General features: G+C 39.8%; 1 protein-coding gene across 1 annotated transcript in view; it reads left to right on the top strand.

Moving 5' to 3' along the window:
- The window catches only part of CATSPERB (catsper channel auxiliary subunit beta), a 151,389-nt gene that overhangs the window by 62,612 nt on the left and 76,727 nt on the right, over window positions 1–12,050 (top strand). Inside the window, exon 15 of the mRNA NM_024764.4 lies at window positions 9,494–9,638. Coding sequence (NP_079040.2) covers window positions 9,494–9,638 — 145 coding nt within the window. The remainder of the gene's footprint in view (window positions 1–9,493; window positions 9,639–12,050) is intronic.

Here is a 12,050-nt window from a genome sequence, read left to right as displayed (position 1 = left end):
ATGTTTGCCTTTTTCTGTTTGACTTTGAGCTTGACTTTCTGGCTCTGTTGTTCTTTAAGTTCCTCCTAGTAGCATTTTCCACCCTCTGGCTGCTCCTTCAGTCAGTTCTGTATCAGTACACTGAAAGCTTGGTAAAGGAGTAGTTATACCATCTATGGAGCATCTGACAGTTTTAAAAAGTAAGGGCCACAGATTATGAAACATTAAGCAAACTTTGGAACTAAGAAAGTACTGCAATGACTTCCAAAGAAGGAACTAATTCAGTTTCTCAAATATCTATATTATGTGCAAAATTTAGAGATTTTAAAGATGATACCCTGTTTCTAGGTCTTCTTAAAACTCTCTTCCATATTTTAGTTTTTCACACTAAATGTTTATGTATTAATCCATTCTCACACTGCTATAAAGAACTGTCCGAGACGGGGTAATTTATAAAGAAAAGAGGTTTAATTGACTCACAGTTCTGCCTGGCTGGGAAGGCCTTGGAAAACTTACAATCATTGTGTCTGGAATTGGTTCCTTCCGGTGGGTTCTTGGTTTCGCTGACTTCAAGAATGAATCTGCGGACCCTCGCGGTGAGTGTTACAGCTCTTAAAGATGGTGTGTCCAGAGTTTTTCCCTTTAGATGTTCAGATGTGTCCAGAGTTTCTTCCTTCTGGTGGGTGCGTGGTCTCGCTGACTTCAGGAGTGAAGCTGCAGACCTTCGCAGTGAGTGTTACAGCTCTTAAAGGTGGCACGTCCAGAGTTGTTTGTTCCTCCCGGTGGGTTTGTGGTCTTGCTGATTTCAGGAATGAAGCCGCAGACCCTCACAGTGAGTGTTACAGCTCATAAAGATAGTGTGGACCACGAGTGAGCAGCAGCAAGACTTATTGTGAAGAGCGAAAGAACAAAGCTTCCACAGCATGGAAGGGGTCCCGAGTAGCTTGCCGTTGCTGGCTCGGGTGGCCAGCTTTTATTCCCTTATTTGGCCCCACCCACATCTTGCTGATTGGTCCATTTTACAGAGCACTGATTGGTCCATTTTACAGAGTGCTGATTGGTCCATTTTACAGAGTGCTGATTGGTGCGTTTACAATCCTTTAGCTAGACACAGAGTGCTGATTGGTGCGTTTACAAACCTTTAGCTAGACACAGAGCACTGATTGGTGTGTTTTCACAGAGTTCTGATTGGTGCGTTTACAAACCTTTAGCTAGACACAGAGCGTGGATTGGTGTGTTTACAATCTAGTTTTCTAGCTAGACAGAAAAGTTCTCCAAGTCCCTACTCGACCCAGGAAGTCCAGCTGGCTTCACCTCTCAATCTCCCCTCTAAACAGGACACCCCAAATGCTGTTGGGAATTGGCCGATGATAGCTCTAGCTACTTCCTGCTGGATGGGGTGAAGAAAGGGCCCTGCAGTTGTAGTGTCCTCCAGAGGGGAACTCTTTAGGCCAGCGAAAGGGCCAGTGGGTCAGTCCAGGTGTCCTCGGTAGAAGTTGTTAGTTGAGCTCATTTGGGGTTCCATTTGTAAGACCATCTATAGTTTGATGGCCTTGGTCCTAGAGGAAACAAATTTGACAAGGAGGTTAAAAATACAGGGCCCAAAGGTGAGTAATAGCAAGATGGCTGTCACAGGACCTAGAAAGGGGAGAAGTCATGTTGCCCAACTCCAGAGGTTGGTATAAGAGTTTGAAAGGCATTGTCTGATTTCAGAAGCCTTTTCCTGTAAACGCCAGGTAGCATCTCTTACTATCCCTGACTGGTTAGTGTAAAAACAACACTCTTTCCCTGAGAAGGTGCAGAGTCCTCCTTTCTCAGCAGTGAGGAGGTCTAGGCCTTGGCGGTTTTGGAGAGTCACTGCTGCCAAAGAGTCTATTTAGGATTGTAGAGTAAAGATAGATTTCATTATTTCTTGCAGACTTGTCTGAGAGGCAGATATAGGTTGAAGTTCCACATAAGAAGAATATGCCTTGGCTGGGTAGACAGAAATTTACCCTGCCTTTTAAAGGAATAGGGTACGCTGTTTTTTCTTGACTACTTCTATCTCTCTCTTTCCTTCTGTCTTTGACTTTGTCTCTCTCTTTCTCTTTCTTTCTATCTGACTTTCTGTCTCTTTGTCTCTTTCCTTTCTGCTGGTATTTCCCTGCCTCTGCCAGACACTTATGCTGCTGTTCTCCTCTCTCCTTCCCCTTTTTGATGGCTTCCGCAGTGTAAGACTGCCACCTCCTTGGGTTTTTGCAATGTGTGCAATAACTCCATAATTTCCTTGTGGTATTTAATGGGGTTCCCCCAGAGGTTAGGAACTCCCTTTCTTTCCATATTGCAGCATGGGCATGTAGGATTAGATAAGCATACTTGCTGTCTGTATACACATTTATACTTTTTCCCTTTCCCAGTTCTAAGGCTCAGGTAAGTGCCACTAGTTCTGCTAACTGGGCGCTGGCCCCTGGGGGAAGAGGCTTACTTTCAAGTACAGTTACATCACTAACTATGGCATAACCTGCCCTTCGTATCCCATTCTCCACAAATGAACTTCCATCAATATATAGGTTAAGGTCAGGATTAGCTAAGGGGACTTCTAAGAGATCATCTCGGGCGGCATAAATCTGGACTATAATTTGTTGGCAGTCATGCTTGATTGGTTCCCCATCCTCTGGGAGAAAAGTAGCAGGGTTGAGGGCCACACACATACGTATTTGAAGCACCAGTCCCTCAAGGAGTAGCGCCTGGTATCTAAGTAGGCGGTTGTCTGATAGCCATAAACTTCCTTTGGCACCTAGTATGTCATTTACATCATGAGTAGTCCAGACAGTGGGATCCTTGTATTATTTTGATAGCCTCTGACACTAAGACGGCCACCGCCACAACTACCCTTAAACAGTGAAGCCAGACTTTTGCTACTACATCAACTTCTTTACTTAGGTATGCCACTGGTTGTGGGGTTGTCTCACGAGTCTGAGTAAGGATTCCAAGAGCTATCCCTGCTCTCTCTGTGATGTATAAAAAGAAGTTTTGTCCTGTGGGAAGGCTTAAAGCTGGAGCTTGTACTAGGGCCTGCTTTAAGGTTTTGAAGGCTGTTTCTGCCTCTGGTTCCCATTCTACTAGATGAGTATTTGCCCTCCGGGTCTCCTTGATTAGAGTATAGAGGGGCCTGGCTATCTCGCTCTATCCAGGGATCCATAGTTGGCAAAAGCCGGTGATTCCAAGGAACCCCCGCAGCCGTTTTAATGTCTTAGGGCAAGGATAAGCCAGTATAGGCTGTATTCGTTCCTTGCTGAGGGCCCTGGTTCCTCTGGCTAAGATTAGGCCTAGATATTTGACCTGCTGTAGGCAAAGCTGGGCCTTCGACCTAGATGCCTTGTACCCTTGATTAGCTAGAAAGTTCAAGAGATCTAGAGTAGACTGCTGAGAGAAGAGTGGCAGAGTGAAGGGGCAACAGCCTCTTATAAAACCATTAGATCTCATGAGAACTCACTATCACGAGAACAGCATGGGGAAATCGCCCCCATGATCCAATCACTTCCACCTGGTTCCTTCCTCAACACCTGGGGATTATGGGGATTATAATTCAAGATGAGATCTGGGTAGGGACACAAAGCCTAACCATATCCGTTTGGGGGTTTTTGTGGGTTTTTTTGTTAGTTTGTTTTTGAGACGGAGTCTTGTTCTGTCGCCCAGGCTCACTGCGACCACCACCTCCCGGGTTCAAGTGATTCTCCTGCCTCAGCCTCCCAAGTAGCTGGGATTACAGGCACCTGCCACCACACCCAGCTAATTTTTGTATTTTTAGTAAAGAGGGGGTTTCACCATGTTAGCCAGGCTGGTCTCTATCTCCTGACCTCAAGTGATCTGGCCGTTTTCGCCTCCCAAAGTGCTGGGATTATAGGCATAAGCCACCACACCCAGCCAATATCAGTTTAAAATCTCTAATTTCTTCTTTGACCCTTGAATGTTTGTTCCCCTTATAAGAGGAACACAATTTGCATTTGGTGGTGTCCAGGTTTCTCCACATATATAACAGGCGATCATCTAAATAGAGTTCTTGGGCCTGCATTTCCCCCAGTCTCCATCTTGTGTTTTTTTCTCTGTATTTCTCCAACTGAGTAGAATCCTATGACTTTATTTACTCATTTTCTGTCATTTTTTGAAAAAGTGGTTGCTTCATTGTCTTTTGTTCTAGAATTCCTAGGGCGCATGGATTGGAAACTAACAGTGATGTAAGGAGTTATTATACTTGAACTTAATGGTTTAAAAGTGTGTAGATCAAAAATTTTGCCAGTATTTTATACATCTCAAAAATTCAGGCTGGGTGCAGTGGCTCACACCTGTAATCCCAGCACTTTGGGATGTCAAGGTGAGTGGATTGCCTGAGCTCAGGAGTTCGCGACGAGCTTGGGCAACATGCCAAAACCCTGTCTCCACCAAAAAATAAAAAAAAATTATCCAGGTGTGGTGGCACGTTCCTGTGGTCCCAGCTACTCAGGAAGCTGAGGTGGAAGGTTTCCTTGAGCCTGGGAGGTAGAGGTTGCAGTTAGCCAAGATTGTGCCATTGCACTCCAACCTGGGTGACAGAGTAAGACCTGATCTCACACACACACAAAAATCAATTTATGTGTGTTTTGATTGTGGACAATAAATAGTCAGAATTAAAGATAAAGGGTTTATATGGTGTCCTCTGAAATGAAGCTAAGAAACAGAACGAACAGTTGAACAAAAATTTAGAAAGACCAAGGAATTGGAACAACTCTTGTGGAAACAGATTAACAATAGCTAAAACAGATGTAAATCTAATAGAGCTTACAAAATGGTCCAGTTGGATGTGAGGGTTGTACAGCAACCAAGATGTCCTTCACTAGGAGAATGGACAAATAAACTTGGTATATCCAGATGATGGATTATTATTCAGTGCTAAGCAGAAATGAGTTATCAAGCCATGTAAAAGACATGGAAGACTGTAATCCCAGCACTTTGGGAGGCCGAGGCGGGTGGATCACCTGAGGTCAGGAGTTCGAGACCAGCCTGGCTAACATGGTGAAACCCTGTCTCTACTAAAAATACAAAAATTAGCTGGGTGTGGTGGCAGGCGCTTGTAATCCCAGCTACTCAGGAGGCTGAGACAGGAGAATCGCTTGAACTGGGGAGGCAGAGGTTGCAGTGAGCCGAGATTGCACCACTGCACTCCAGCCTGGGTGATTGAGTGAGACTCTGTCTCAAAAAAAAAAAAAAAAAAAAAAAAGACATGGAAGAAGCTTAAATGCATATTACTAAGGGAAAGAAACTAATCTGAAAAGGCTACAAACTTTATGATTCCAATATATGACATTCTGGAAAAGGCAAAACTATGGAGACAGCAAGAAGATCCGTGGTTGCCAGGGATTAGAGGGCAGAGAGGTTGAATAGGCCGAGAACAGAGGACTTTTAGGGCAGTGAAACTCTTCTGTCTGATACTATAATGGTGGATACATGCCATTACACGTTTGTCTAAGTCCATAGGATGTATAAGACTAAGAATGGTCCCTAATGTAAACTATGGACTCTGAGTGATAATGATGTATCAGTGTAGGTTCATCAGTTGTTGGGGAATGCTAGTAATGGGGGAGACTATGCATGTGCGGGGGAACTCTTCCACTACAATGTAAATATACGTAACACTACTGAACTGTATGCTTAATAATGGATAACATGATAAAGTTTATGATATGTGTTTTTTACCTCAATAAAAAAGAAAAAATTATAAAATAACCAATAGTTAGATCACAAAACACTCTTGTATTATGACCTAGAAAATATCCGCCATCTCTTCACAAAATTGAAAACATCTGAATTAATTTTTTTTTTTTTTTTTTTTTTTGAGACGGAGTCTCACTTTGTCGCCCAGGCTGGAGTGCAGTGGTGCGATCTCGGCTCACTGCAAGCTCCGCCTCCCGGGTTCACGCCATTCTTCTGCCTCAGCCTCCCAAGTAGCTGGGACTACAGGCGCCCTCCACTACACCCAGCTAATTTTTTGTATTTTTAGTAGAGACAGGGTTTCACCGCGTTAGCCAGGATGGTCTCGATCTCCTGACCTCGTGATCCGCCTGCCTCAGCCTCCGTTTGAGCACCACCCATATGCAATAACACAATCAAGACAAAGGATATTTCCAAAGTAATTTGGCAATGACTTATAATTTGGGTCAAGTTAAACATTCAAAATGAAAAATAATAAAAGAAATGAAGACTGATCTTAAGTTACACTGGTGATATGGGCCAAAATCTCACCTGTAAGTCAGCCATTTAGCAGTCAGTTTTCTTATTTGGTTAGGTCCCCGAATCAGATCACAGAGTCTCTTAACTTCACTTTTTACCTAAAGAAAGTTTTCTGCATCCTCTTTTTAAAAAAAGGAGGAGGGGGAAGCAGAAGAGGAGAAGGAGGTGGAGGAGGGAGGAGGAAGGAGAAAGAAAGAAGAAGGAGAGAAAGAGGAAGAGACTTTTTCATGAAGGATATACTAAGAAGTGAAAAACAACAACAATCTGCAAACTGGGAGATGATATTTACAATACATTTAACTAAGAAAGAATTATAGAAGTAAGAATATATAAAGAATTTCTGCAAAGCAATATGAAAAAGACAACCTAATAGCAAAAAGGAGAAAACACACAAATAAGCATATCACAGAAAAGGAAACAAGTGGAATGAATACGTGAAGAGATGATGGAGTTCACAAGCAATCAGGGAAATACAAATCAGGAATGAACGACGATATCATTTTCAGCTACTTAACTGGCAAAATAAATTCTGTCGATACAAAATGTTGAAAGTGTAGGTCAACACGATTTCTTATATATTGCTGCTGGGAGAGTAAATTATTACAACTATTCTGGAAAGCAATCTGCCATTGTTATTATTATCTTGTAAATGTGAATATTTGCATATCCTATGTCCCACCAATTTCACTTTTCAGCAAGGGAAACACATATATCCGGAGACATTTTAAAATGTTTGTCATGGGTACTGCTAGTAATAACATCAAATTACTAAAAGTAATCCAGATGTCTATGAATAGGAAAATGAATAAGTAAATTACATCTTATTCACCTAATGAACTATTATATGGAAATGAAAAAGCAAATGAACTGAGCTGTATGCAACATGTATGAATTTAAGTAAATAATGTTGAGGGAAAGTAAGTTATAGAAGACAATATATGGTATGGATAGCCCTTTTTACAAGGAGCAAAAATAAGTAAAATTAAGCATTATGTTATTTAAACATATGTGCTTAAATTATTTTAAATACCAAGGGAATGAAAAAACACAAAATTCAGGATATTGGATATGTAACAGGAAAGGCAGAGGGATAGGAATGGGGAGAAACAGGAAGATGTAAATTACTAGCAATATGCCGATTCATAGGTTTTCAGTTCACACAGTTCATTATATTATTAAATAATATAAGGAAAAATACAAATGAGCCATGTATAGATAAATAATTTAAAATATTTAGGGAAAAACACAATGAGATGTCATTTTTCATTCTGATCATGAGTAAAAATTAAAAATAAATTTTTGGTCATATCAAGTATTGGTGAGGTTTGGGGAAACAGATACTCTCATACACTACTGGTGGGACTGTAATCTGGTTCAGCAAAACTGAAGAGCACTTGGGTAGTCTCTATTAAAGTTGTAGAAATGTGGCTAGATGCAGTGGCTCATGCCTGTGATACCAGCACTTCGGGAGGCCAAGGCAGGAGAATCGCTTGAGCCCGGGAGTTTCAGACCAGCCTGGGCAACATGGCAAAAACCCATCTCTACAAAAATTAGCCGGGCATGGTGGCTTATGCCTGTAGTCCCAGCTACTTGGGAGGCTGAGGTGAAAAGATGGCTTGAGCTGAGAAGGCAGAGGTGGCAGTGAGCCAAGATTGTGCCACTGCACTGCAGCCTGGGTGACAGAGTGAGACCCTGTCTTAAATATATATATATATATATATATATGATAGCATCTGACTCAGCAGCTTAATTTTTCAGTATTTTCTTTAAAGATAACACTGTAACGTTAGTACAAATAGGCAGATAAATGAATGTTCACTGCAGTATTATTCACAACAGTGAAAATTTGGGTACAACTTTTAAATGTTCAGTAGTATAGTAGAAAAGTAGACTATCTCAAGTATGGTATATCCATAAGTTGGAGACTATAGGACAGTGTAGAAGAATGTGCTGATCCACATGAGCTAACATAAAATGATCTGAGATACATTGTTGCGTGACAAATGTAACTTATAGAAAAACAGGTACAATATGATACAAGTTCGAGCCTATTGTTCAAGGTGCCCTTCCTTAGACACCTAACTACCTCCCTGCTCACCAGTAATGTTTGCAGGGCCCAAAGCAAGAGTGAAAATTGAGGTCCACATACCATATGCTTTGGATCATGGATTGTGTTATGCCAGCAATGAGTGCTGCATCCTGAGTAACAGAAGCACCTATGTGTATTCAGTATGTTTCCTGTATGTGTTTGTAATATTCAGGCCCAGTAAGCAAGCAGTCCAGGGCAAAGTTACTTCCTGTCCAAGTCTAAAAGCCTTTCTGTCCTCCCTACCATAAAAATGAAATCAGTACTGTACATATTCTATTGGTATCTGCATACATATGAATGTAAATGCTTCGAATTTTCAAACCGATTAACTGGTCACCTATGGGAAGGGATAGAGGAGACTAGGATTGATTATATTAGATGAGGCATAAAAGGAGAATTGTTTGGATGGTGGTCTCAGATTCTTCAGCCATATTTATAAAGTTGGAAATGTAAGAAAAGCCTATTTTCTTGTATAACTTGTTATTAAAATTAATTTTTTAAAAATCCAAACAACAGAAATCTTCATGTGAATGAGTCTCAGGCTATTAAAAGCGGTAGCAACTGGGAATCATAATACAGAATTGATCTGTTTTATCCTCAAACAACTCTTACCTAAAGATGAGGAAACAGAGAAACTAAGATGCTATAGTAATAAACTAATATAACTATACAGTGAGATAAGTGATTTGAGGATCTACAAAGGTCCCAGGACACATCCCTTGCAAATGACAAGGGGCTCTTCCATGCAAAATATGTGTGCATATATATTTGCCAGACACCTAGAACATGAAGTATTATGTCAATATGGGGTAAACCCCTCCCCCAGATCCAAATGCACCCAGCACTCCATTCTTTTATGAACACGGAATTATTTGGGAGATCATAGGAATAACTTTGTTATTTTATACAATCACTATGCATATTGTGTAGACCGGTACTCTGCCACAGACACCTTCATACACACTCTAGGATGGAAATAGAAGGTAGACAAAGTAGATAAGGAGTCTGTATACGAGTGTGTGTGTGTGTGTGTGTGTGTGTGTGAGAGAGAGAGAGAGAGATGAATGTAGGCATATGGAAAAGATCATGCCACATGGCTATTCTCATGTAGGCTGATAGGTAACTGCCAACTGTTGCATGGCAGCCCTTTAGTAAGGTATTATCTCTTTATTCCTTTAGATATGGCTTTCAGTTGATGGCGGCAACACCTTTCAATTAATAGCTAACTTTCATGATGATATCATAAAGAAGACTTTTCATAGTTTTTATACATCAGCTATTACTTTTGTTTCTCAACGTGGAAAGGTTTACTCGACAAAGGCAGGTAAGAAATTTGCTTTCACTGGTGTAAGCATTACATGTGGCCCAGGATTAGAAGATATATGAAAAACCTGCCGTATTAATCAACTAATCCTAAGACCTCAAAACTATTAGGGGTGATGGATTTGTAGGATCTACAGAAGTAGGATCCTATGGATAGTCCTAAAGAAAGGCAACACTAGGTCACCATGCTATGTTCTCATTTACCATTTCAGAGATATTTTACTGTCCCAAAAGCCAAATAATAACAGCTACCACTTGTCAAGCTACAATTGTGCTCAGCATGTTACAAATATCATCTCATCTGATATTCAGAACAACTTTGCTGAAGTAGGTAATGTTAGCTTACTTTTGCTGATTACACTGATACAACTGACACACAACCAGTAATGGTGGAGTTGTGTGAATGATACACTGCTCTCATCTCTTTCATTTGGTAATCTTGTGCTTTCATTGATCAAGTTTATATAGCTCCTATCAGTGTTTGCATAGCAAAAGAAGTAGTTAATTTTTAAGTATAATTTTATTTCTTAACTAACAAATATTGATTTTACATATTCATGGGGTACAAAGTACTATTTTGACACATATAATGTAGAGTGATCAGATCAGGGTAATTAGCATATCTGTCATCTCAAACATTTATCATTTCTTTATGTTGGGAATGTTCAATATCCTCCTCCTAGCTATTTTAAACTATATAACATATTAGTGTTAACTATGCCATCCTCCAGTGGTATAGAACACTAAAATTTATTCTTCCTATCTGGCTGTAATTTTGAACCCTTTAGCAAATCTCAAAACAGTTAATATTGATTGACCTTAATGATAGTTGCCCACTCCTTTCCAACTCAGTTGAATTTTGCTAACCAGCCTAGGACCCTAGAGTGATAAAGGGACATGATTCTCAATTTATTTCTGTATGTTTGCGACCTGCACTTTCATTTTATTTTGTCTTTCTATTATTGAGTCTTTGAGATCTTGTTTTGTTGAATTTAATTTATTAAGATTTTTTGAGGCAGAATATGGAAGTAAATTTACCTCCTATCTTGGGATGTGCTTTGTCTCAACTTGATTCTTTTTATCTTTTACAAGCTGTTAGTTTCTTCCTTCTCTTCCCTTCCTTTTTTTAAAAATATTTTATTCTTAATTTTTGTGGGTACATAGTAGGTGTATAAATTTATGGGATACATGAGATATTTTGATACAGGCATACACTGTGTAATAATCATATCGGGGTAAATGGGGTATCCATCACATCAAGAATTTATCCTTTATGTTACAAACATTCAAATTATATTCTTCCAGTTATTTTAAAATATATAATAAATTATTATTGACTGTAGTCACTCTGTTGTGCTGTCAAATACTAGATCTTATTCATTCTATGTAATGATATTTTTGTACCCATTAACCATCGCCATTCTCCCCCTACATAATGCCCCACTACCCTTCCCAGCCTCTGGTAACCATTATTCTACTCTCTATGTCTGTGAGTTCCATTTTTAAAATATTTAGTTCCCTCAAATAAGTGAGAACATGCAAACTCTGTCCTTCTGTCCCTGGCATATTTCACTTAACATCATGTCCTCCAGTTCCAATCATGTTGTTGCAAATGACAGGATCTCATTCTTTTTATGGCTGAATAGTACTCCATTGTGTATATGTACCATATTTTCTTTATTCATTCATCTGTTGATGGACACTTAGGCTGCTTCCAAAGCTTCACTGTTGTGAATAGTACTACAATAAACATGGGAGTGTAGATATCTCTTCAATGTACTGATCTCTTTTTTGGGGGGTATATCCTAGCAGTGGGATTGCTGGATCATATGGTAGCTCTATTGTTAGTTTTCTGAGGAACCTCCAAACTATTCTTCATAGTACTAATGTACTCTCCATTGTACTAATTTATATTCCCACCAACAGTGTACAAGGGTTCCCTTTTCTCCACATCCTCACCAGCATTCATTATTGCCTGTCTTTTCGATAAAAGCTATTTTAACTGGGATGAGATGATAATCTCATTGTAGTTTTGATTTGTATTTCACCGATGGTCAGTGATGTTGAGCACCTTTTCATACGCCTGTCTGCCGTTTGTATGTCATCTTTTGAGAAATGTCTATTCAGATTTTTGCCCATTTTAAAATCAGATTGTTAGTTTTTTCCTATTGAGTTGTTTGAACTTTTTATATATTCTAGTTATTAATTCCTTGTCAGATGGGTAGTTTGCAAATATTTTCTTCTGTTCTGTGGATTGTCTGTTCACTTTGTTAATTGTTTCTTTTGTTGTGCAGAAGCTCTCTAACTTGATGTGATTCCATTTGTCCGTTTTTGCTTTGGTTCCCTGTGTTTGTGGGATATTACTTAAGAAATCTTTGCCTAGATTAATGTCGTGGATAGTTTCCTCAAAGTT

The sequence above is a fragment of the Homo sapiens genome, chromosome 14 (assembly GCF_000001405.40).
Source record: "Homo sapiens chromosome 14, GRCh38.p14 Primary Assembly".
Lineage (NCBI taxonomy): Eukaryota > Metazoa > Chordata > Mammalia > Primates > Hominidae > Homo > Homo sapiens.
The sequence above is the reverse complement of the archived record's forward strand: the minus strand, read 5'-3'. Positions and strand labels throughout refer to the sequence as shown.